This window comes from Homo sapiens, chromosome 4 (assembly GCF_000001405.40).
Source record: "Homo sapiens chromosome 4, GRCh38.p14 Primary Assembly".
NCBI classification, from domain to species: Eukaryota; Metazoa; Chordata; class Mammalia; order Primates; family Hominidae; genus Homo; species Homo sapiens.
In genome coordinates, this window is record NC_000004.12 from 69,280,017 (window position 1) to 69,307,474 (window position 27,458).

Below are 27,458 nucleotides of genomic sequence, written 5' to 3' on the forward strand. Positions count from 1 at the left end.
TGCACAAGTCTGTGAATTTACAAGGAAATACTTAATTTTAAATACTAATTGATGAATCATATGGTATTTGAATTATACTTCAACAAAGTTTTACAAGATATTCCTTGAACCACGATATTCAAAAACGCTATTTGCATTGTACGATCACTTCATCTCTTACTCTGTGTCAAGGGCCCTGCAGGACTCTCTCACTTGCCACTATTCTTGACACTATTATAAAATAGGTTACATAAAACAGGGTACTTGCAAGGTCATTAATCTTAGGTGGATGACAGCGAATATAAACATAAAAGAAACATCAAACATCCTTGAGTAAATATGAAGTAATCAAACTTTGTCTCCTTGTCATCCATGTACTCAGGATGCTCCTATAATATATTTACTTTGGATTGAAGGAGTTATGTTTTAACTTGATTGATTTATCTCTGTATATAAGTATGAGAAAGAAACAGTGACTTGAAAAGAATGATTGCATTGCACCAGGATGGCTCTGAAGTGGACTTCAGTTCTTCTGCTGATACATCTCGGTTGTTACTTTAGCTCTGGGAGTTGTGGAAAGGTGCTGGTGTGGACCGGTGAATACAGCCATTGGATGAATATGAAGACAATCCTGAAAGAGCTTGTTCAGAGAGGTCATGAGGTGACTGTACTGGCATCTTCAGCTTCCATTCTTTTTGATCCCAATGACGCATTCACTCTTAAACTCGAAGTTTATCCTACATCTTTAACTAAAACTGAATTTGAGAATATCATCATGCAACAGGTTAAGAGATGGTCAGACATTCAAAAAGATAGCTTTTGGTTATATTTTTCACAAGAACAAGAAATCCTGTGGGAATTTCATGACATATTTAGAAACTTCTGTAAAGATGTAGTTTCAAATAAGAAAGTTATGAAAAAACTACAAGAGTCAAGATTTGACATCATTTTTGCAGATGCTTTTTTTCCTTGTGGTGAGCTGCTGGCTGCGCTACTTAACATACCGTTTGTGTACAGTCTCTGCTTCACTCCTGGCTACACAATTGAAAGGCACAGTGGAGGACTGATTTTCCCTCCTTCCTACATACCTGTTGTTATGTCAAAATTAAGTGATCAAATGACTTTCATGGAGAGGGTAAAAAACATGATCTATGTGCTTTATTTTGACTTTTGGTTCCAAATGTGTGATATGAAGAAGTGGGATCAGTTTTACAGTGAAGTTTTAGGTAAGAATTTGTTTAATCGGGAACTTGAAGATCTAACTTATTTGTGTCTTTGAAGCAGAGCTTATATAAAGCCATAAAGTCAGGGAAGTGGAGTTTTTGGTAAGTGAATTTATGAAATGAAAATACAAGATGATCTATCAATCTCACAAACATTATAGAAAAGCTTAAATTATAAGGTCTGTTAAAACCCTGTGGCCATCACTCATACAGAACACCCCAGGAAATCATAAACCTATATATTAGTACACCTAAGACTTTAAGCAATTACACATCTGTTTTACTATATAATGTTTTAGATCTTAAAAACAGTGAAATCCATCAAGTAACATCTTACTGAATGCATAGATTTAGAATGAGTAATTACACATTTTTCTACAACTATCTATATAACTGCAGAAAGTTTTCCTTGTAAACCTCAGTTTTCTTTTTTAGGTATTAAAAGATATTCCCATGTTTCCAGAAGGTTTCCTTCACAGTAGAGAGAGATAATGTCCACATCTCAGATGCAAAAGTTAATCAGGGTAATTTGAAGTTTCTAATGTTTCTATACTCCTTCACTAAAGAATTGGAATTCATTCATTTAAAGTCCAATTATCTTGTTGAAGTGTGAAGGTTGTTATATCTATATAGTTTATTTGAAACTATGTCTCTTTATTTAAAAATATGAGACAGATTAAGGTTGAGTACAGATCTCTATTTCAATAATTTCTCAAAAATTTCTAGCTATAATTTACAAATATATTTACTTAAATGATAATATTATTAAGATCTTAGCTCAAATCCAAATGAGTAGTTGGTACAAGGATTTCTGCCATACTCTCAAAATAGTCCGAGTTCACTTGAAGAACCAAAGATAAAAGGATTAGCTTAAGGAGTTGTGTAAACTGGACTGTTAGAAAATTGGTTTTATGGGTACAGTAGAATTAATTGATTATGGAGCTCAAAGAGTTGTTTAAATATCTATATGCAACTATTGAAGCTTTAAAGAGAAAATAAATTGATGTTTAATTTTCTATGACTTATTTTAATAATTGTGAGTACACTGACTTGACATTAGAGATGTCGCTTAACTTCATAATTCTCCCACCACTTTGCCTTTCTTATAAATAAACATGGACAAAATATATAATACATAAAAATATATTATTCATATACATGAATATATGTATATATTTTTCAAAGCACACAAACTTTACCTACATCTTTGCCTACATAATTCTAACCCCTTTCAGAAAGTTATGTAAAGTAATTATCTTACATCATCCACTTTTTCTTTTCTTTATTCCTGTCAGGAAGACCCACTACCTTATTTGAGACAATGGGGAAAGCTGACATATGGCTTATGCGAAACTCCTGGAGTTTTCAATTTCCTCATCCATTCTTACCAAACATTGATTTTGTTGGAGGACTCCACTGCAAACCTGCCAAACCCCTACCTAAGGTAAACATACTTTCGTTGGTTTTATTTTGTTGGCTTCGAAGTTTCAGTAGAAATGAGTCTATAGCCTTCATTCAAAATGTTTGACTTACACTGAAAGAAAGATGGGAAGTAGGTGGTGTAAAGCAGATACCAAATAGAAACTCATGTATATGTTAATACCATCACATGTATGTGAGTTTTATGCATATTACAAATAGAGAGGAATAGTAAGGAGACTTTGAAAATAGGGTTGATTAAAGTCTTGATTATGCAACACCTAAGGAGGTATTTGTCATTCATTCAAAGAATATTTATAAAGGGATTAGCACAAAACACAAGTAAGTGCAGAAATTTCAGAGAAAAAAAATAGACAGTTTCCGTCTGCACATACCTTACATTCTACTTTGAAATATAGAAAAGTAACTAATGAAAATGTTTTAAAAAACTATTATCTCAAGGAAAAACCCAATATCAAGAAAGCATCAGTGGAGATAATAGAAAGTATCCTGGAGTCATGGATTAGTAAGATGAGAGCTGAACAATATGCAGAAATAGGTAAAAGAATGGCGGGGAGAGGCAGACAAAAAGGGAAAGCAGATAAAGTGGTCAGGACAGTTCTCAAGTCCTCAGGTTTTGTTTTTAGGGAATGATTAAGAATCTAGATCATACTAAGAGGTAAATTAGAGCCAGATACATATTAGGAGTGGAAATATTTATTAAGAACATTGAAAAACTACTAAAAAGAGTTAAGAAATAAATATATATGAAACGATTCTCTTTTTTAAGAAGAGCCTCCAAGATATTCAATGGATTAAATTACAGAAGGGCCACACTGTAAAGAGCCAACCATTTAGGAAATTTTCCATGGATTCAGGTAGAAGATGATGGAAAAGTGGACTAGAAAGTTGATAGAAATAATTATGCCTACATTTGCTAAAATAGTGCCAACTTCATATTGTGTTGTGTGGAAGAAATATTAAAACAGACAAAACACTTAAAATGTCTCTGGGATATAGTCAGTGACTCAGAAATGTTATTAATTTTGCAATTATGGTTATTTTGTTATTATTACCAATACTACTAACTACTTAACATGTGCAAGTCACTTGAGATATCATTCCTCATTTAAGAGAACCAGATTATTCAGCACATCAAGGTTATATTCTCTTGCAAAGTCATATATGACAGATACCCTGTGGACTTGATTAAAATTAGACATATCAATTGTGACAGTAAAATGAGCCAGTTGAAATTCTAAAATTCTACCGTAAGTAATAAGGATCTTCACTAGTATTCGAGCATAAAACACTTCCTCAACAATACAAATGTGTGCCTTAAATATGTGCAGACAAACCCAGGGTTCACTTGACTTTAATAAAGTATTTAAATCATTTCTGCATTGAGATCCCAGAATTTTACATTTTAGATCATAAACATACCCTATTAGAGCAGACGATGTCTGCCATATGACAAGCAACTCAGTAAAGCTTTCTGGGGGAACTTATCTCAACATCATAGGTGCCTGACAGAGAAGCACAGAGATAGTGAACAATGCATGTATAATAAAGAACAAATAATTTCTACCACTTGTATCTGAATAGTGCCCTTAGTTTCAATACGAAAAAAAATTCTGTCAGCATATAAGATTATATTCTTTTTGAAGGAACAGAAAAATCTCATATATTTTAAATTAATATCACATTTTAAGACATATGTACAAAGTAAGCCTTCTTCAATGCATTATTACTCAACCTCTTAAAAGAACATTTTTGCTTACATAAAACTGATATTTTATTCCATTGTTAAAACTCAGTATCTATGTTTAATGCAAATTGTATGGGCTTTATATAGTCACTTTCTCAAGAGACAAAAGCTGAGGTAAAGACTAATGAAAAATCTGCGCCACTCTACACTACTCTTGAAAGATTTCCCCATTCACATTAAGGGAAACTGACAGTGCAAATTGGAGGAGGAAGAGAGTAGGAGGTGTAAAAGGACAAGAAAAAAGGTTGACTAGTAGTACAATAGTGGTAATTACTAATACTAGGTCTTGTTATTAACTTGCAGAAAGTTTTGAATGCAAGTCAATGGTTGTGAAACCAGTTATTTAACTGTTTATTATGTAAAATAACTGCTAACACAGGTTGCTTTCTTTTCAATTATATATTACATTCTCAGATAATTTCTATATATTTTAAGAGAATAAGACACTTGACAAACTGCATCAAGTGTTTTAAAAATGCGTATTGTTATTAATTTTATAATATATTCACGTGAAATCATAAAAAAATCAAGTTGTACCTATTAAACATTATGGAAAATATTCACAAAATTAACATTAGAATTAATCCGACATCTTACATGAAAGAATGATTAAAATTTATTTGCATACGATAGCATTAAAATAATTTTATCAATGAAATATTCAATTACACCATCAGCCATAGTACAGATAATATGAGTTAGAAAATGATAAATATAACAAGATGGAAGTTTTTGCAGGATAAAATGTATATACAATAAGATTGAAATTTTCTAAATAAGTGTCACATGTATACATTGACCTATATAAATAGGACAAAATCCATAATAAAAAAATACATATTTTCTATAAATAATATCTCTAGGTAGAAATTTTAGAAAAATTATTTTTTAAAACGCTTTTCATACTTTTATACAATTTCTTACATTAATTTTGTATTATTTTTATAATATTATCACTAAAGGAGCAACAACCCGTCAATATCAGTGATGAATCTCTAAACAGAGGTTAGATTCCTTCAACACTGGGTAGAAAAACAAGGCTCTGATATCAAGCCAGTGAGATGAAACACTGAAAACGAGTCACATTAAATGTGGTTACAGGTAACTGCAATCACACACAACACCTAGAAGCCCCAGGTATTACGTGGAATAGTAGTACAAGGACTCTCACGTTAACGTAAGATTAAAAATCATATTTTAAAAAACGCTCTGCCATACGTGGTGCACTGTTCACATTTAGACATTTTTTTCTTTGTTTTGTTAAAAACCATTTGGAAAAGTTTTACCCCAATGATTAAATCTGAAAATACTTAAATTTAAATATCGGTATACATTGGGGAACTCAAGTCAGAATAATTCTCAATCAATTGCAGCCAAGCACATCTTCACCAGGCGTGTAATGTGGTGTGCGTGAGCTACTCAAAAGAGAGACAAGATCCCCCTGCAGAAAGGCCTGGTGGCCTCTTCTATTCTGGTGCCAGTGCTGCCTCTGAGACACAACAAAGTGATGATGAGAGTTCCTCACATGCAGTTATAAACAGCACATCAATTTAACAGTGGGATTTCAGGGCAATAGGTGCTCCACCTAAACAATAACCTGAAAGGTACAATTATTCAACAACTAACTATAAACTCTACAATTCTGTATGATAAATGAGACTCTCAAGACTGAGTCATAAAAATTCCAAATCACAATACTAGACTCAGGAATGTCAGTGATTCTTAACCACCAGCTTTTATTTTCATTTTTTATTTTTTGAAAAACTACTGGAAAACTCTGACAAACTTTAAGTGAAGCATAAAGCATTGTAGAGGAACATAAATGTAGATATAAAATTATCCCAACTGTGAATAGCTTTTCCTCAGTGCTCATATTTAGGGAAGTAGATCACTAATGGCTTCAAACTAAAAGAATTCTACAGAAAACATGCCTGAAATAAACACAAGTGTTTAAGTAGAAGAAAAATATAGCATTAAAGCCTAGTGGTGCCACTTTTCCAAGAACTTATATTAGTAATTATAGTATTATAAGTGAAGAGTCTGGGTATATTTTTTCACATTATCTCCCTGACTACAATGTAATAGCTCCATTTCTTTTCTCCATTACACACATGCAGACACATACCTACATAAACACACATATTTACACAAATATCCTTAACAGAGGCCAACTACCTCAAACATCTTCTTGTAAAGAACCTGAGTGATTGAGTCAGTTAAAAAATATTATTTACTCCAATAATTCCTCAAAATACTTGATTTTCTCTCTTTAATATTTGGTACCAATTCTTTAGTAGTGCCTGCTGTGGTGATACTCTTTTGTGATTAAACAATTTTTTTTCACAGGAAATGGAGGAATTTGTACAGAGCTCTGGTGAAAATGGTGTTGTGGTGTTTTCTCTGGGGTCAGTGATAAGTAACATGACAGCAGAAAGGGCCAACGTAATTGCAACAGCCCTTGCCAAGATCCCACAAAAGGTAAGATAAAGTGCCTTACTGGTGTGGAAAACTACTGAAAGAGGCTGTTAAAGTTTGAGATCTACACAGAAAGAATATTAAGGCTAGACTGAACTCTTTACAGCCAAATACAGTCTTAAATATCTTGTGTAGCTTCCACCGACACAAGTCATAGTTGTGCCTCAGACTTAGTGGTTACATGTGGCCCTGGGGGTGTTACTACCCTTGGTATGCATGAGTGGTTCCTATTACTACCAGTGGGAACTCAGTACTCCATATGTATCCACAAAAGGGAACTTGAGACCCATGATTATTTTTAATTTCTGATATTAACAGTCATACATATGGCTGAAATTAACTCAATATATTTCAGGTAAGTGAAAATGGTGCCTAATGTAGTCTTTAGATGACTTTCAAGTGTTTTCAACTAAAAATATATATCCAGAACTGCATCTTTGTAGAAATACAAGGAAGACTTATGATCATTTTCTTCAAAGCTGTTTTCCTAATCTCAGCAGTATCTAATGAGTGAAGAAGATTTGACTTACTCTTGGACCACCTCTATTACTTATTGTACTCTGGAAGCTCTTGGTGAATGTTTACAATTAAGGAATGTACTATTTCTGTTTGTACTTTAAGTCAAATGCTTATGTGAAATATGTGACAACAAATAGAGAACACTGCCTGAAGCAGGAAGGTGAAAGAGAAAGGATGGAGATGGATCCTGACCTGAAGGTGGATCCTGTACAGTATAAAATATGGTCCCACAAGGACTCAGCACTAACTACCAGATTAACAACCCCTCCCAGTGGAGGCAGCAGTAGGAAATATAGGAAGGAGTCAAACAGAAGGAAGCCAGGCAGGGGAACAGGTTTAGATGTCCCCTCCATAGAACATAGTAGGAATGTATTTTCTTCTATATAGAATAAACCAGGGACCTTTGTGTATTTGTGAATTACTTTTTAATTTCCTATCTGATAAAGCTTTCTTGTAATGACCTCTAACTTTTTGCTGAAACCTGAGTTACTTTAACACTGATGTAGCAAATAAAAGTTAAACACTGTAAATTATTGTTCACTTTATGAGGATTGCTTTGGAGTTTCAAAATTAGTAACAAAATAAGAATGTCTTGGCTATAGCAGAACATATTAATCACTGTTGTCAAAGCTTTGTAGCACGTTGTCTAAGTGATAATAATCAGTTGACCAAATTCAGCAAAATACAATTTTGAGTTTATTCAACAGCTTTATTTTTATTCATGATTCCAACAGGCTCCTCATTTCTAGGCCAAAAAAAAAAAAAATCCAAAATTAACGATACTGGTAATATTCTGAATTTGTGGCAAAAATTGTCACTTGAAATTTTTCTTGGAAGTAGTGCTTGAAAATTTGTAATTCCAATGAAGTTATACGTAAAACCTTGGCAGCATTTATTTATTTCTTATAATTAGCTTATTTTATAGACTTGCTATTTTGTCAATCAAAGGACAACAGGCTCTAATATAATAACCTACCGACAAGTAGATACATTTATACTACTTCTCATATTATTCAAAAACAAATGAATATATTACAATTAAATTTGGAGATGAAAACTGATATAAAATACATAAAACAAACATATAGGTCATTACTAAATAGTTACTGTTTTATTACACTAGAATTACAATGACTCCATATAATTTTTTATACTTTTTTTATAATATTTTTATTTTTTAAATTAAATTAACTTTTATTTTTAACTTTTAAGTTCAGGAGTACATGTGCAGGTTTTTTACATAGGTAAACTTGTGTCATGGGGTTTTGTTGTACTAATTGTTTCATCACCCAGGTATTAAGACTAATATTCGTTTATTATTTTTCCTGATCCTCTCTTTCCTCCCACCCTCCACCATCCTATACATCTCAGTGTATGTTGTTGCCATCTATGTATCCACGTGTTCTCATCTTTTAGCTTCCACTCAAAAGTGAGGACATGTCACATTTGGATTTCAATTCCTGTTAGTTTCCTAAGGCTAATGGCCTCCAGCTCCATCCTTATCCCTGCAAAATACATATTTTTGTTTTTTTATGGCTGCATAATATTCTGTAGTGTATATATGCCATATTTTCTTCATTCAGTCCATAATTGATGGTCATTTAGGTTGACTGCATGTCCTTGCTATTGTGAATAGTACTGCAACTAACATATATTTTCATGGATCTTCATAAAAGAACCAGTTATAGTCCTTTGCTTATATACCCAGTAATGGGATTGCTGGGTTTCATGGTATTTTTGCCTCTAGGTTTCTGAGGAATGGCCACACTGTCTTCCACAATGGTTGAACTAACTTACATTCCAACCAACAGAGTATAAGCATTCCTTTTCTATACAATCTCGCCAACATCATGATATTTTTTGAATTTTTAATAATGGCCATTCTGACTAGTGTGAGATGTTATCTCATTATGGTTTTGATTTGAATTTCTCTAATGATCCGTGCTGTTAAGTTATTTTACTTCATGTGATGGTTGGCCGCAGGTAGGTCTTTTTTTAAAAAGTGTAACAATTTTTTGAATATTTGAACTTTTCATTGATAATCTTATTTTTCTACGGTACTATTTTGGAAAATAATGGTTTCTTATATATCTAAATCATTATAAAAGTTAAGAAAATAAAATGTGAGTATTGTTTTTACATCAATCTCTGAGTAGATTTATTTACTAACATCCCTTGATCTCATTCCTACCCTTTTTACAGTTCTAACATTCTATAATTTTTGAGTTCCACTCATGGAATAAGATATTCTCTTTACTGTAACAGGTTCTGTGGAGATTTGATGGGAATAAACCAGATGCCTTAGGTCTCAATACTCGGCTGTATAAGTGGATACCCCAGAATGACCTTCTAGGTAACACTCTGGTGAACAAATACTGGATATATTAGTAACTGCACATTAGAATGTTAATAGTTTATCTTGAAACATGCTTATTGAATATTTATTATAGGAAAACAAAAAGAACTTCTTTGTATTTATTTTCCAGTCCTAGGGGAAAAGAATATGGTAGAATTGCTGGCATTTTATGATATTCACTCATATACTTTATGGTCAGAATCAGAGATAATCTTTATTTCAGGTGCTATTATATCTCACAGAATTTTTCAGTATCTTCCTGGGCTGTCTCTCCGTCTCCTGTTTCTACAACTTTACACCTGTTTTCTCCTCTCCTGCAGGTTTATTTCAAATGCCAGTAAATATAATAGCTCTTCTATCACCAGTGACTCTGTATTATCTGGAGGACTAAATTCCTAATCTTAATCTTAAAGTAGTGACACATTTCATGATGAAGTGTAACCTGTCTTTCCTCAATCCTAGCACCACCACCAACCCACTGCCTGCTGCCTTGCACACCCCACATATCACACTCTGTGACAGCACCTAAAATAAAACTTTATTTCATGCCCATCTCTTTGCTGTCCTCTTTTGTGCACATTTAAAAAATCTAGAATGCACTTTTCATTAGTCCCGCTGAAAATCTTGTATTCAGTTTTGCACCCTGAAGTTATGCACACCACGGAGACTTCAATTACATCTCCTAAACAAGTACGTGTTTATTCCTCTGAAGTCTGAAAAGTAATGGCAAATTAGTTTAATGTGTTATCTAGAAAACACTGTCACTTTCAGAGCATTTCATTGTGTATCGCATTTTATTCCTATGAATAATTTTGCTAAAATTCATCCAATCCTAGGTCTTCCAAAAACCAGAGCTTTTATAACTCATGGTGGAGCCAATGGCATCTATGAGGCAATCTACCATGGGATCCCTATGGTAGGCATTCCATTGTTTTGGGATCAACCTGATAACATTGCTCACATGAAGGCCAAGGGAGCAGCTGTTAGACTGGACTTCCACACAATGTCGAGTACAGACCTGCTGAATGCACTGAAGACAGTAATTAATGATCCTTCGTGAGTAGAACAGTATTTTTCACTAGGTGGTATTTGTAGATAGCTTCTCTTTTCAATAGTGAGCATGAGTTTCATCCTTTTTATAAGAGAGTAATCTTGAAAGAATTTAAATGATTTAACCAATCTGAAATCTGCTTTGTTTTTTATCTGTTATTTAAAAATTGTGCTTGAATCCCATACATCTAATGAGTAACCAGTTAGTGAAGCAATTTTCTAAACAAAAATAATTTTAAAATGTCATAGATAATATAAAAAATACATTTCTTAAAATTTTAACATAACGAATCCATAGTAGAAAGGAAGAATAAACTTGAAATATTATAAAATGTTTTAATTAAATATCTAAAATGACTCAGAATATAACTATTTTCTTGCTGAAAAATTAATTTTTATCATCATTATTTTAACAGACTTGAAAATGAGATTTAATTTCGATAGCTTAAAATCCACCTATTTATGCCATAAAATCCAAATGTTTTTACTATGTTTACAGAGTCATGAAACTATCACCATCATATAATTTTAGAACATTTTTATCAACACAAAAGAAACTGCAATGACACCAAAATCACTTCTCATAACTGCTTAGTCCTAGTCTAACACCAATTTGTTTTCTTTCTCTATAAGTTATTCTCTCTAGATATTTCATATAAACGGAATCGTACAGTCTCAGGTGCTGTGTAAATGACATTTCACCTAGCCTAATTTTTGTTCTTTTCTTATGGTTTTTGTTTTACTTCATATTGTTTTGTGTTTTAATACTTCATTTCCTTTACACTTGTGTAATATTTTATAGTATGGATATGTCATAATTTAGTTGTTCATTTGTCAGTTCATTGGCCTTTTGATTGTTTCCAATTGTGGCTACTAAGAATATTGCTATACATGTCTTTGCATAAACATGTTTTACTTTCTTTTGGGTTGATGCAGAAGTGGAATTGCTGCCTCATGTGAGAACTGTATGTTTATGAAGAACTGCTAAACTGTTTTCCAAAGTAATTGTTCCATTCATCACTACCATCAGCAGTACAATATGGTTCCAATTCCTCCACACTGTTGTCAAACCCCTTATTGTCTGTCTTTTTGTTACAGCCTTCTTAGTGGGTGTAAAATGATCTCTCATCCTGGTCTTGGATTGCATTTTCATTACTGCTGAAGATGTTGAGAACATTTATAAGTGCTTATTGATCATTCATATATCTTCTTAGAAAACATGTCTATTCCAACGCTTGGAACATTTTTAACTTTTCTATTTGTCTTATTATTAAGTTTTAAGAACTACTTATATATTATGGGTCAAATCAGATATATAATTTTTAAATATTTTGTCCCATTCTGGGTGCACTAACTTTTTACTTTTTGATGATGGTCTTTGAAGCACAAAAAATATAATTTTAAGTTAAAGTTTTAATAATTGATTTTGTTCACACCCCAAAGATAACAATGTGAAAAATTCCTTGCGGAGTCCAGCTACCATCAATTCCACATTTATAACTACTCTCAATAAAGTTTTTGTGTAAGGAGGGTATCATCTAAAGGAATGCTTTAAAAATACTTTATCCCAAAGAAAATAGAAGGATAATGAATGATCAATATATGTTTAAAGAAGATGGGAAATAATTGAAAAGCAACACAAACCAGCTTGGACAAATAGAAAAGAAATATAAAACAAAGTGGTAGATTTAAATGTGATTATACAAATACTTTCACTCAATCTAAACAGACTTTTAATAAAAGAGCAAATAATGAGTAAGGACATAAAACACTTGAAGAATACAATTAACAAATGGATTCTTACAATCTAAAATGATATACAAACACATATATACATATACAATACACATATATGTATTGTATATATCAACTTGAAGACACATTTTCCTGGAGTACGTCAAATAGTTAATCTTTACTTGAAGTGATATGTGGTGGGCAATAAATCAAGACTTAGGAAATATAAAAAGATTCAATATCATGAAGACTATATGATCCAGCCATAGTGGAAATAACGGAGGTTAAAAATACTATTACTAAAATATCCTTAATATTGGAAATTAAAAAAATACACTTCAAAAAAATTTAAAGTCAAGAAGTAAATCATAATTATGCATGCACTTTTATCTCAGCAATTCTACTCTCAATTATATACACAACAGATATACATAAATATATAAATCTAATGCTGTATAGCAGAGTGTTCATGAGAGAATTATCAACAGTGTTCAAAAATTGTTAGCAACCCAAATATCTATTCATCGTAAAATGAAGACATAATCTGTGGTTTATCAATCAACAGAATACTACATAGCAATGGAATTACCCAAGAACTGCTACATTAAAGAAAAAGACACTTTTGAGTACATATTATATAATTCAATTACATAAACAAGCAAAACTAATGTTGTGATTCGAAGTCAGGCTAATCCTTAGTTGGAGGACAAAAGTAGTCACTAAAAGGTTCAGAAAAAGGGAGTTATTCTAGGCAGATTGTGATAGCCTATACCACGACCTGAACAGTAGGTAAATTGGTATCTTCACCTCAAGATAATGTTCAAGATGATCTTCCATTTTTGAACTATTCACTTAGTGTATGTATATTTATCTTTTGTGTTTTATATTTAAATGTATATTTTATGAGATATATAAATCATTTACAAAATTCTAGGAATCAGATAGAAAATAAGCACAGAAAATAGAGAAAATTCTAGAGGCTCCATCACAGTTTGGCCAATAAAAGCCTCTCTTAGAGGTAACACTTAGAGGGAAGCCACAAAAAGGGAGAGAAGCATGCCTTGGGTTGCAGCAAGAAAGAGTACTCCAAGAGCAGGAGAGAAGGAACAAAATGTGTAAAGTGCTAAGATGAGAACACCTTTGGAAGCTTAAAGAAAATTAGAAGGCCAATCTAGAAGACAATGTGCAGGGGAAAAGTGTTAGAAAAGAGCTTGCCAGTGTCTTAAAATGTAGGGTTCTGTAGACCAAATAACAGAGTTGAATTTTATGATTAAAAGAATGAGAAGCCAGGCAAAAATCTTAATCAGAAGAGTGCCATAATCTGACTTTAATTTCAAAAAATCATTCTGGCTACAGGGTGGGAAACAGTAGGAAACAAAAGAGTAATGTAAAAGCAAAGTGACAAGCCATGAGGTATGTCACTCGCCATGATAAAATTCCTTTTTAGGAACTTACAGATGATAATTCTCACATCGCATTTTCACAATCTTTCTTACAGCACTTAAAATGGCTCATGATGTTGAGCAGGTACTCATATGCCTGTTTGAGAACTAAGAGTGTAATTGGATTGTTCATAATACAAAGGATAAATGCTTAAAGGATGAATATCCTATTTTTCATGATGTGATTATTTCACATTGTATCAAAATATCTCATGTACCCCATAAATATATACACTTAATATGGACCCACAAAAACTTAAAATTAAAGAATTAAAAACAATTAAAATGCCTTATATTTTCTCTGCTTGAAAAAAATTAATTTTCTCACCTGACCTTCCATTTCTGCTTTAAAAATGTTTGTCAATGAGAAAAGTCCAATTTAAAAGCCCAACTATCTATGATGACTCAAATTAAAATACACAAATTCTCTGTCAATTCTTTCAAATTTACTTTGAATTATTTGACACTTTAAAAGCCTTTCATAGACTTGATACATACAGGCCAGTTAACTTACTTTCAGTGTTGGTATCTTTATTTTTATCCTTCAGATATAAAGAGAATGTTATGAAATTATCAATAATTCAACATGATCAACCAGTAAAGCCCCTGCATCGAGCAGTCTTCTGGATTGAATTTGTGATGTGCCACAAAGGAGCCAAACACCTTCGAGTTGCAGCCCGTGACCTCACCTGGTTCCAGTACCACTCTTTGGATGTGATTGGGTTTCTGCTGGCCTGTGTGGCAACTGTGATATTTGTCGTCACAAAGTTTTGTCTGTTTTGTTTCTGGAAGTTTGCTAGAAAAGGGAAGAAGGGAAAAAGAGATTAGTTATGTCTGACATTTGAAGCTGGAAAACCAGATAGATGGGTTGACATCAGTTTATTCCAGCAAGAAAGAAAAGATTGTTATGCAAGATTTCTTTCTTCCTGTGACAAAAAAAAAAACTTTTCAAAATCTACCTTGTCAAGTAAAAATTTGTTTTTCAGAGATTTACCACCCAGGTAATGGTTAGAAATATTCTGTGGCAATGAAGAAAACACTAGGGAAAATAAAAAATAATATAAAGCCATATGAGCTCATATTGAAATTTGTTGCACTTATATTGAGATTTGTTGTTTGAATTCACAAGTTACATAAAAATATTACTCAGTTTAACTACATTTCACACATTTTATATAAACACAAGAACATTAAGAAGTCTACTGACAGTATCAGTAGTGTTTTGCACATACTCAGAATAATTTGGCTTCATTTTGAACAGGATTCGGTTGTTTTAACTGTTGCTAAAGAAACTATTACATAGTTAAATTGTATAAAAAGTCTCTCTCTTCCTTTTGATATCTTGAGATAAGTAGTATTGCTTTACTTTTACACTGCATGCAGCTTCATTGTCACATTTTTTGCTAAAATTGATGGCCAAATGTTTACTGTTTTAAGAGCATAAGTCATTTCTCAGTGGAAATTATGTGAAATTAGAAATATAGCCACTGTTACCTGCTTCCTACTGTAAAATTGAACTGTTTTGCCACATCTTTGGTTTCATGAGCAAATTCTATTTTTTCCAGATATTTAAAGATATTTTTCTCGTTGATTTTATTCTGATATTTTTAATTACTTCAATAGTTATTTGGGAACAGGTGGTGTTTGATTAGATGCATACGTTTTTTAGTGGTAATTTCTGAGGTTACGTGGCACATATCATGTGAGAAGTGTACCTTGCACTGAATGTATACTCTTTATCCCTCACCCCCTCCCACACTCCCATCTGAATCCTTAGAGCCCATTACATCATCTTTATGCTTTTGCATCCTTATAGCTTAGATCCCACTTAGAAGTGACAATTGACGATGTTCAGTTTTCTATTCCTGAATTTCTTCACTTAGAATAATGCTCTCCCACTTCATGCAAGTTGCTGTTAATGCCATTAGTTTGTTTCTTTTTACAGCTTAGTAGTATTCCATGGTATATATATATATATATATATATATATATATATATAGTGTATATGCGTGTGTATACGTGTGTGTGTGTGTGTGTTTGTGTGTGTTTGTATCAGGGGAACCCACCTTCAATATTTCAATGTAGGTTCTTCCCATTTTCCATAAGTGTTGGCCAGCTGAGAAATAAAGAGAAAGAGTACAAAAAGAGGAATTTTACAGCTGGGCTGCCGGGGGTGACATCACATATTGGTAGGACCATGATGCCCACCTGAGCCTCAAACCAGCAGGTTTTCTATTAAGGGTTTCAAAAGGTGGGGTGGGGAGTTGTGTAGGAACAGGGAGTAGGTACAACGATCACATGCTTCAAAGGACAAAAGGCAGAACAAAGATCACATGCTTCTGAGGGAACAGGACAAAGGGCAAAGCAGAACTACTGATAAGGGTCTATGTTCAGTGGTGCATGTATTGTGTTGATAAATATCTTAAACAACAGAAAACAGGGTTCGAGAGCAGAGAACTGGTCTGACCACAAATTTACCAGGGTGGAGATTTTCCCCACCCTAATAAGCCTGAGGGTATTGCAGGAGACCAGGACATACCTCAGTCCTTATCTCAACCACGTAAGACAGACATTCTCAGAGTGGCTGTTTATAGACCTCCCCCCAGGAATGCATTCCTTTCCCAGATTACTAATATTAATATTCCTTGCTAGGCTAAGAATTTAGCGATATCTTCCCTACTTGCACGTCCATTTATAGGCTCTCTGAAAGAAGAAAAAATGGCTCTTTTTGCCCCACCTCACAGGCAGTCAGACCTTATGGTTGTCTTCCCTTGTCCCCTAAATGTTGTTGTTATTCTGTTCTTTTTCAAGGTGCACTGATTTCTTATTGTTCAAACACACATGTTTTACAAGCACTTTGTACAGTTAACACAATTATCACAGTGGCCCTGAGGTGATGTACATCCTCAGGTTATGAAGATAACAGCATTAAGATATTAAAGTAAGACAGGCATAAGAAATTCTAAAGGTATTATTTGGGAACTGATAAATGTCCATATTAAAGTGAAATCTTCACAATTTATGTTCCTCTGCCTCAGCTCCACCCAGTCCCTCCATTCGGGATCCCTGACTTCCTGCAACATCTGTGTGTGTGTGTTTGTATGTATACCACATTTTCTTTATCCACTTATTGGTTGGTTGATGGGCATTTAGGCTTGTTCCATTCTTTTTCTTTTTTAATTGCGAATAGTACTGTTGCAAACATGTATGTGTGTGGGTCTTTTTCATATAAAAATTTTCTTTCCTCCGGGAAGATACACAGTAGTGCGATAGGTGGATCAAACTGTACTTCTACTGTAATTTCTTATAGAAATCTTCATATGGTTTTCCATATTACTTGTACTAGTTTACATTCCCATAGCAGCATAAAACTGTCCCCTTTTTACCACATCTATGCCAACATTTTATTATTTTTGGATTTTTAAATTATATTCATTCTTTCAGGAGTATAGTGGTATTGCATTGTGGTTTTGATTTGCATTTTCCTGATAATTAGTGAAGTTGAGCATTTTTTCATATATGTTGGCCATTTATATATCTTCTTTTAAGAATTGTCTATTTATTACATTAGGCTACTTTTTGGTGGGTTTTTGCTTTTTTTTAGCCATTTGAAGATTCTGGACATTAGTCCTTTGTCAGATAAATAGTTCATGAATATTTTCCACTATTCTGTGAGTTGTCTGTTTACACAGATGATTATTTCTTTTGCTGGCGGAAGTTTTTAGTTTGATTAAATCACAACTCTTTATCTTTGCTTTAGTTGCATTTGCTTTTGGATATTTGGTCATGAGGTTTTTGCCTAACCTAATGTCTAGAAGAGTTTTTCCAATGTTACTTTCTAGAATTTGTTATTGTTTCAGGTCTTAGATTTCATTATTTGATCCATCTTGAGTTGACTTTTTATAAGGGAGAGACAAAGATGCAGTTTCATTCTTCTACATGGGGATTGCCAATTATTCCAGCCCCATTTGTTGAATAGGGTGTCATTTCCCCACTTTATGTTTCTGTTTGCTTTGTCAAAGTTCAGTGGGCTGTAAGTACTTGTCTTTATTTCTGGAATTTCTCTTCTGTTCCATTGATCGATATGCCTGTTTTTATACTGATACCATGTTGTTTTGGTAACTTGTAATATGCCTTGTAATACTTTGGGTAATGTGATGCCTGTAGGTTTGTTCTTTTTCTTAGTCTTTCTTTGGCTATGCAGGTTTCAAAACTGAGAATCAAATAAAAAACTCATCCATTTTGAAAATAGTTGCAAAAGAAAAAGAAAAACAAAACAAATTACTAAGGAATCTACCTAACCAAGAAGGTGAAAGAACTCTACAAAGAAAACTACTAAACACTGCTGAAAAATGTCGTAGATGACACAAACAAATGGAAATATATCCCATGCTCATGGATGGGTAGAATCAATTTTGTGAAAATGAACACATTGCCAAAAGAAATCTATAAATCCATTTCAATTCTCATCAAAACACCATCATCATGCTTAAGAGAACTAGAAAAAAAATCCTAAATTTGATATGAGTTTTATTATCATATTTGACTTGTAGTAAGAAATGTAAATCCTTTATTTTAGGTTGTGATAATATAGAAATTACACTCTAAAGGGACTTAGTGAATTTTCAATCTTGCTAAATATACAGGTACATATATATGTCCATTTCTTTTAAAACAAGACACAGCATCAATTAACTAGCTAATAGATATCCTGTGAAATTCAATGTGTATTTTGAAGACAGATTGAAATAATTATTATTCTACATAGCTATACTTTAAATGATAATATCTGTTTTATTATTTTCCACATAGATTTTTGATTCATTCCTCCTATAAATGTAGTACGGACACATAAATTTCTAGTAAGTCAAAAAATATATACAAAGGATACCAAAAAGTTTATAAATTTTGTGGAAAATAGCTAAATCAAGCCAAAAATCTCCTTTAGTCTACACATCAGGGAAGCACTTTATGATCAAACTAGTCCAGATTAACAGAAACCCAGTTGTCTTTGTCACTAAAAAGTCTTGCCATTAACCACTTCTCACAAAAATATTCTACAGCATAAGATCTGATTAAAAACATATATGTATACATATATGTATCTTTATAATTATATAGACATAGATAAATCATGTAATATACATATACACACACACTAAAACATTGATGAGATAGAGAGATTATAGAAAATTTTATACAAATAATCTAGGAATTAATACAGATATAAAGAAACACAGAACTTATATAGTGCCAAAGATTAATAATGTTGTTTTATCATGCTTATAAATCTGAATTAATTCACATAAAACCTATCCTATGACACACATAACAAAAGATTGGTATCCATTGTTCAGTGAGAACTACAAATCACTAACCAAAACTGACAAACAATCTAATTAAAAAGTGATTAAAATATGAAGAAGCAATTCAAAGTAAAAATGGCCCATAAGAATAAAAGATTAAAAAGTTACTGATGCTCAGTAAAATAGAATTAATGCCAACAAATTGATGTCATACAGAAGATTTGCACCCTATAAAAACCTGAGAAATCTATTTTGAGGGAGTATAATTTGAAATAACCCTTTTAAATAAAATGTAAATATGCCATTTGAAACTGAAGTTCTACATTTAGGAATCTGTCATGAAAAATCCATGCACATCAGCACATGTATGAACAGAATGATTCCTCCAGCACTTAAATGGCTTTCAGCCACTGAACACATGTACCTCCAACAAATGTATGAGGGGAGCCATTGCAGAAAACAGGCTGACTATCACTTTGCTAAACAGAAAAAGTAGTTTCCAGAAAAACAAAAAATTATTTTTTGCAATGAAATAAAATATATGTAAACTGGTAAAAAGAAGAAAGAATCTCAAAAAACACATGTAACTACAAGGATGAGAATTTACATTTTTATTCTATATAATTCTGCAATGTTTAACTTTTCAGAAAGTTTTCATGTGTTAATTATCATATTTAAAGTTTAATTTGTGAAATAAACACATCCATTTAAGACAGGAAGTTTCAAAATGTGACATCACATTATTAATTCGCTAGTGTCATTCAAAAAACTTGACAATATTTCTCATATATTATTTTATCCACTTGCAGCTTGTTTTTAGGACATTTGTTCTATTTTTGAAAATATGTATGAATAAATAAAATGTTTAAAAATTGCAATAATTGTAGAAACCTAAATACATGTAATTTTAATATTTTTTATTGTACTATTTTTAATATTTTATGAATTATACAATAGTTTAATAATTTCTGCTGCCTTCTTCAAAGGGTTATATTTGTTGTTATTTTGAGACATGACTATAGATACATTGACAATTTTCCTATCAATTAATATTCCCTCCCTTTGAAGTTTGGCAAAGTTTGTAACTGTCTCAACAAAAAGAGTGTAATGAAAATAATGCAGCTAAACTTTCAAAGCACTGCTGGAAACACAGCATATTCTCCCTCTGTTTCTCTTTCGCACTTTCTGTTTCTTCTTTTCATGTCTTTTTGTTTCGCTCACTATTACTAAATAACTCAACCTGTAGTCCCCATAATAAATGACAATTTGTAGAGAGACACAAATATATGCTTAAGGAATCCTGGTAGCCCACTAGCACTTTGAGCCTTTCAACACGAATCTCTAAGTATGTAAGTGAATGATCTTCAGATAATTATAGACCCAGGCACCACAGAAAAGTAGCTACCTAAGAAGCTCTGTGAAGGATCACATAACTGAGCCCACCTAACATACAGATTCCGAGACATGATAATAAAATGATTACAGTTGTTTTAAGGCCCTACATTTGAAAACTATTTGTTATGCAGTGATACACACCTGGAATAATAATTCTACATATTTTAAACTATACATTTGTAATAAAATTACAATTTATATATATCTACATAACAGGAAACTGCGATACTACACTTGGAAAATATCTGTACCCCGAATAGGAGAGTCAATATAACATGGTGGTTAAGAGCTGGCACTCTGGATCCAGATGGCCTTGATTCAAGTCTTAGAAACCACTATATAACGATGTGGGACTGGAAAAGTTACTTGAACTTTATTTGCCTTAGCTATCTCACTAAAGGAATGGCAAGATTTGTCATCACATTATCAATATCATGTGTTATTTAAAGAACAAATTCATTAATATTGCAAAGCACTAACAATTGTGTATACAGCAAAATAATATTTGTACTATTATCATTAAACAAGTCAAAAAATTTCCGCAATAATTTTAGTGTTCATATAATTGCATAATACATTATAGTTTCAAAACATGCTATGTCTCTAATGCAAATGATAAAAATGCCCACATTTACTATTTCAAGCATGTGGGAATTAAACTTGGAGCATAAACCAAGGACTGACAAACTATATGGCCTCTTGGTCGATCAAATCTGGTCAGGTAATAGTTTTTTTTTTAAATAATTGATATATGAATTTCACACCACAAAATTATACACTTTAAGCATTTAATCTGTATGATTCCTTGGCATGTAACACATTTGAAATGTCGTGCCACTACCACCACTATCTAGATCCAAAGTGGTTTTCTTCACTTCAAAAGGAAGCTTTATACCCATTAGAGAGTCATCTCACATTCTCCCATTATCCATGCCTTGCAACTTGGCATTATGTATTGGCATCGCTGTATAGCCTATTGGGTAATATTTTTTTTTAAATGCAGGGGTTGCAATCCTAGTCTCTGATAAAAACAGACTTTAAACCAACAAAGATCAAAAGAGACAAAGAAGGCCATTACATAATGGTAAAGGGATCAATTCAACAGGAAGAGCTAACTATCCTAAATATACATGCACCCAATGCAGGAGCACCCAGATTCATAAAGCAAGTCCTTAGAGACGTAGAAAGAGACTTAGACTCCCACATAATAATAATGGGAGACTTTAACACCACACTGTCAACATTAGACTGATCAACGAGACAGAAAGTTAACAAGGATATCCAGGAATTGAACTCAGCTCTGCACCAAGCAGACCTAATAGACATCTACAGAACTCTCCACCCCAAATCAACAGAATATAAATTCTTCTCAGCACCACACCACACCTATTCCAAAACTGACCACATAGTTGGAAGTAAAGCACTCCTCAGCAAATGTAAAAAAACAGAAATTATAACAAACTGTCTCTCAGACCACAGTGCAATCAAAGCAGAACTCAGGATTAAGAAACTCACTCAAAACCGCTCAACTACATGGAAACTGAACAACCTGCTCCTGAATGATTACTGGGTACATAACGAAATGAAAGCAGAAATAAAGATGTTCTTTGAAACCAATGAGAACAAAGACACAACCTACCAGAATCTCTGGGACACATTCAAAGCAGTGTGTAGAGGGAAAATTATAGCACTAAATGCCCACAAGAGAAAGCAGGAAAGATCTAAAATTGACACCTTAACACCACAATTAAAATAACTAGAGAAGCAAGAGCAAACACATTGAAAAGCCAGCAGAAGGCAAGAAATAACTAAGATCAGAGCAGAACTGAAGATTATAGAGATACAAAATCCCTTCAAAAAATCAATGAATCCAGGAGTTGGTTTTTTGAAAAGATCAACAAAATTGATAGACCGCCAGCAAGACAAATAAAGAAGAAAAGAGAGAAGAATCAAATAGATGCAATAAAAAATGATAAAGGGGATATCACCACTGATCACACAGAAATACAAACTACCATCAGAGAATACTATAAAGACCTCTACACAAATAAAATAGAAAATCTAGAAGAAATGGATAAATTCCTCGACACATACACCCTCCCAAGACTAAACCAGGGAGAAGTTGAATCTCTGAATAGACAAATAACAGGCTCTGAAATTGAGGCAATAATCAATAGCTTACCAACCAAAAAAAGTCCAGGACCAGATGGATTCACAGCCAAATTCTACCAGAGGTACTAGGAAGAGCTGGTAGCATTCCTTCTGAAACTATTCCAATCAATAGAAAAAGAGTAAATCATCCCTAACTCATTTTATGAGGCCAGCATCATCCTGATACCAAAGCCTGGCAGAGACACAACAAAAAAAGAGAATTTTAGACCAATATCCCTGATGAACATCGATGAAAAAATCATCAATAAAATACTGGCAAACCAAATCCAGCAGCACACCAAAAAGCTTATCCACCATGATCAAGTGGGTTTCATCCCTGGAATGCAAGGCTGGTAGGCTGGTTGAAGATACTCAAACCAATAAACATAATACAGCATATAAACAGAACCAATCACAAAAACCATATGATTATCTCAATAGATGCAGAAAAGGCCTTTGACAAAATTCAACAACGCTTCATGCTAAAAAACTCTCAATAAATCAGGTATTGATGGGATGTATCTTAAAATAATAAGAGCTACCTAGGACAAACCCACAGCTATTATCATACTGAATGGGCAAAAGCTAGAAGCATTCCCTTTGAAAACTGGCACAAGACAGGGATGCCCTCTCTCACCACTCCTACTCAACAGAGTGTTGGAAGCCCTGGCCAGGGCAATGAGGCAGGAGAAGGAAATAAAGGGTATTCAATGAGGAAAAGAGGAAGTCAAATTCTCCCTGTTTGCAGATGACATGACTGTATATCTAGAAAACCCCATCATCTCAGCCCAAAATCTCCTTAAGCTGATAGGCAATTTCAGCAAAGTCTCAGGATACAAAATCCATGTGCAAAAATCACAAGCATTTTTATACACCAATAACAGACAACCAGAGAGCAAAATCATGAGTGAACTCCCATTCACAATCACTTCAAAGAGAATAAAATACCCAGGAAACCAACTTACAAGGGCTGTGAAGGACCTTTTCGAGGAGAACTACACAGCACTGCTCAATGAAATAAAAGAGGATACCAACAAATGGAAGAACATTCCATGCTCATGGATAGGAAGAATCAATATCATGAAAATGGCCATACTGCCCAAGGTAATTTATAGATTCAATGCCATCCCCATCAAGCTACCAATGACTTTCTTCACAGAATTGGAAAAAACTACTCTAAAGTTCATATGGAATCAAAAAAGAGCCCACATTGCCAAGTCAATCCCAAGCCAAAAGAACAAAGCTGGAGGCATCATGCTACCTGACTTCAAACTATACTACAAGGCTACAGTAACCAAAACAGCATGGTACTGGTACCAAAACAGAGATATAGACCAATGGAACACAACAGAAACCTCAGAAGTAATACCACACATCCACAACCATACAAAACAAGAAATGGGGAAAGGATTCCCTATTTAATAAATGGTGCTGGGAAAACTGGCTAGCCATATGTAGAAAGCTGAAACTGGATCCCTTCCTTACACCTTATACAAAAATTAATTCAAGATGGATTAAAGACTTAAATCTTAGAACTAAAACCATCAAAACCCTAGAAGAAAACCAGGCAATACCATTCGGGACATAGGCATGGGCAATGACTTCATGTCTAAGACACCAAAAGCAATGGCAACAAAAGCCAAAATTGACAAACAGGATCTAGTTAAACTAAACAGCTTCTGCACAGCAAAAGAAAATATCATCAGATTGAACAGGCAACCTACAGAATGGGAGAAAATTTTTGCAATCTACTCATCTGACAAAGGGCTAATATCCAGAATCTACAATGAAGTCAAACAAATTTACAAGAAAAAAAACAAAAACCCCATCAAAAAGTGGGCAAAGGATATGAACAGACACTTCTGAAAAGAAGACATTTATGCAGCCAAAAGACACATGAAAAAATGCTCATCATCACTGGCCATCAGAGAAATGCAAATCAAAACCACAATGAGATACCACCTTACACCAGTCACAATGGCGTTCATTAAAAAGTCAGGAAACAACAGGTGCTGGAGAGGATGTGGAGAAACAGGAACACTTTTACATTGTTGGTGGGACTGTAAACTAGTTCAACCATTGTGGAAGTCAGTGTGGCAATTCCTCAGGGATCTAGAACTAGAGATACCAGTTGACCCAGCCATCCTATTACTGGGTATATACCCAAAGGATTATAAATCATGGTGCTATAAAGACACATGCACACATATGTTTATTGCGGCAGTATTCACAATAGCAAAGACTTGGAACCAAGCCAAATGTCCAACAATGATAGACTGGATTAAGAAAATGTGGCACATATACACCATGGAATACTATGCAGCCATAAAAAATGATGAGTTCACGTCCTTTGTAGGGACATGGATGAAGCTGGAAACCATCATTCTCAGCAAACTATCACAAGGACAAAAAACCAAACACCGTATGTTCTCACTCATAGGTGAGAATTGAACAATGAGAACACATGGACACAGGAAGGGGAACATCACACAGCGGTGCCTGTGGGGGGGGGGGGGTAGTGAGATAGCATTAGGAGATATACCTAATGCTAAATGACGAGTTAGTGGCTGCAGCACACCAACATGGCACGTGTATACATATGTAACTAACCTGGACGTTTTACATGTACCCTAAAACTTAAAGTATAATAAAAAAACTTTAATTTGTAAATTGCAATTTCTGTGAAGCACAATAAAGCAAAGGATAATAAAATGAAATATGTCTACGCTTAAGAACTTATGGAAATAAAATGTTAAGCTAGGCACAGCTTACTGAATACACAATTAAATAGAGCAAATCAATACATGTAATTTCAAAACATGTCTAAGGCTAAGGACATTTGAAGTGGGATCCTCTGAATATTAGTTCTGCAAAACAATCTATGTATTAGAATTCAGTGGAATACATTAAACAATAATTTAGTGTCTATTATGATTGTTCCTTTGTTCATGTTTCTACATATTTCTCAGACATATTTGGATTAAAATCATGTCTTGCATTGACCAGCTCTGATCACAACTGTGTATGAAAACTGCAAAGCAAAACAACTTTTTATTAGTAAAGCAAAGAAATAAAAATAAGTCAAATGGATATATATCAGTAAAGTAAAAATTGTATCTCTTGCACCACAAGACCAAAAGTCGTTTAACTTTTTATAATATTTTATCAAGTTTTTGTGAAGTAATCAACTAAGAAATTAGAGAATTCTAGAAAATGTTTCCATTTAACCACTCTTGAAAAAATAATTCAAAGACGACTTTCTAAAGATTTTTTTTTGAAATTTTTGATGAGAGAGAAAAGAATGATTAGCATCTTGTTTCAATAGAAATGGTATAACAATAAAAGTAACAATCAATGATTCTTCAAAAATATGCGATGTAGATTTGGGCTATTTGGAGGAAATACAAAATATAATCTCCTTGTTAATGATGATCATTTGTAAGTTTATTACTGGTATTAAGGAAGTAGGTTATCTTACACTTAGAACAAATCTACTTTCTTTATGAAGAACAGCTACAACATTTTCTATAATAAAAACTCATTAACCTGCATATATGTGTCATAGACGATGTATGGCAGTTTTTAAAAATATTTATTTTGATAATTAAATTAAAAATAAAACAAGAATCTCTTGCCTAATGCCTTACTCTAAAACTCTTCCCAAAAATGATGGTCATAATCCTGAATCCAGAAGTAGAACAAAACTGAAAGCATTGGATTTTTTAATCTTTCCTGAAAGGTCATTCTGTCTGTTAATCCTGTCATAGGCACAGGTACATAGGAAAGTGGAGCTGGAAGTTTCCCACAGCTTCACTCCATATTGCCTCTTAGAGAAGTTCTAGGTGTGAGCACAAAAGGGACTGGAAGCAACTCAGCCATCAGGTCTCCATGGGGAATCACAGGGTCTTTAAGCATTACATCGTAGTTGGTTTCCTGTAGCTTCTTCATGAGTGTCTCATTGAAGATAATGCTCTCACCCATCATTTTTAAAGTTCCTCTTATTTCAACAAAAAAACATTTAATTTTATAACTATTTGGTAAGCCTGGCAAGACATTCAGAGCTAGGTCAACAAATATTTCATTTTCTTCTGTTTTGTCCTGTGGCATATGGACACCTCAAATTTCAGTGCCGAAGGCTTCCTGTAGTCAATTAACAAAGACTTTGAGTGAGTCAATACTGTTACCTCATGGCCCCTCACTATGATCTCCTCTAGAATGACCTTGACATTCAGCCAATGGCTCATGTCACAGGGCCACACCAGGACCTTCTCTCAGAATCCACAGCCAGCACAGAAGAGTTGCAGGAGCAGAAATACCAAAGCTGACTTCTGGGACCTCATGATTACATTTCCCTCACACACACATCTGCAATAGTTTTGTAGTTACTAAGCATGAAATTGAAATGACAATATAAGAACAGAAGTTAAAAATTAATATTTTAAGAGTAAATAAAGTTCATTGGTTGGTTGCTAGCTTCACATTTATTGAAGATATCAAAAAGAAATGCAATGTTGCAATGTATCAGGGAAAATTTGTTCCAACCTTCTAGAGCTTAGAAATAAAACACATAAAGATACTTTTATTATCTGGACTGATGATAAAGAAATTTTTAAAAATTCTTTAGATTTAATAATTCATGTG

At 33.4% G+C, this 27,458-nt stretch overlaps 1 protein-coding gene and 1 pseudogene across 3 annotated transcripts; one reads left to right on the top strand and one right to left on the bottom strand.

The window, feature by feature from the left end:
- UGT2B28 (UDP glucuronosyltransferase family 2 member B28) lies at positions 459–15,034 on the top strand. Of its 3 annotated transcripts, none has more exons than NM_053039.2 (6): positions 459–1,205; positions 2,498–2,646; positions 6,736–6,867; positions 9,649–9,736; positions 10,576–10,795; positions 14,514–15,034. In NM_053039.2, the coding sequence occupies exons 1-6, from the start codon at positions 485–487 to the stop codon at positions 14,791–14,793; spliced, it is 1,590 nt and encodes a 529-aa protein (NP_444267.1). In that variant the 5' UTR covers positions 459–484; the 3' UTR covers positions 14,794–15,034. The 3 variants fall into 3 exon arrangements, with proteins under 3 accessions (NP_444267.1, XP_016863792.1, NP_001193933.1); XM_017008303.2 differs by having other exon boundaries at positions 10,576–10,655; NM_001207004.2 differs by lacking the exons at positions 9,649–9,736; positions 10,576–10,795.
- Positions 26,452–27,201, bottom strand: LOC100422022 (UDP glucuronosyltransferase family 2 member A3 pseudogene; annotated as a pseudogene).

Coding starts and splice junctions, on each gene's coding strand:
- UGT2B28 (NM_053039.2), top strand. CDS start 485: ATGGCTCTGAAGTGGACTTCAGTTCTTCTGCTGATACATCTCGGTTGT. Junction 1,206..2,497: donor GTTTTACAGTGAAGTTTTAG/GTAAGAATTTGT, acceptor TATTCCTGTCAG/GAAGACCCACTACCTTATTT. Junction 10,796..14,513: donor ACAGTAATTAATGATCCTTC/GTGAGTAGAACA, acceptor TTTATCCTTCAG/ATATAAAGAGAATGTTATGA.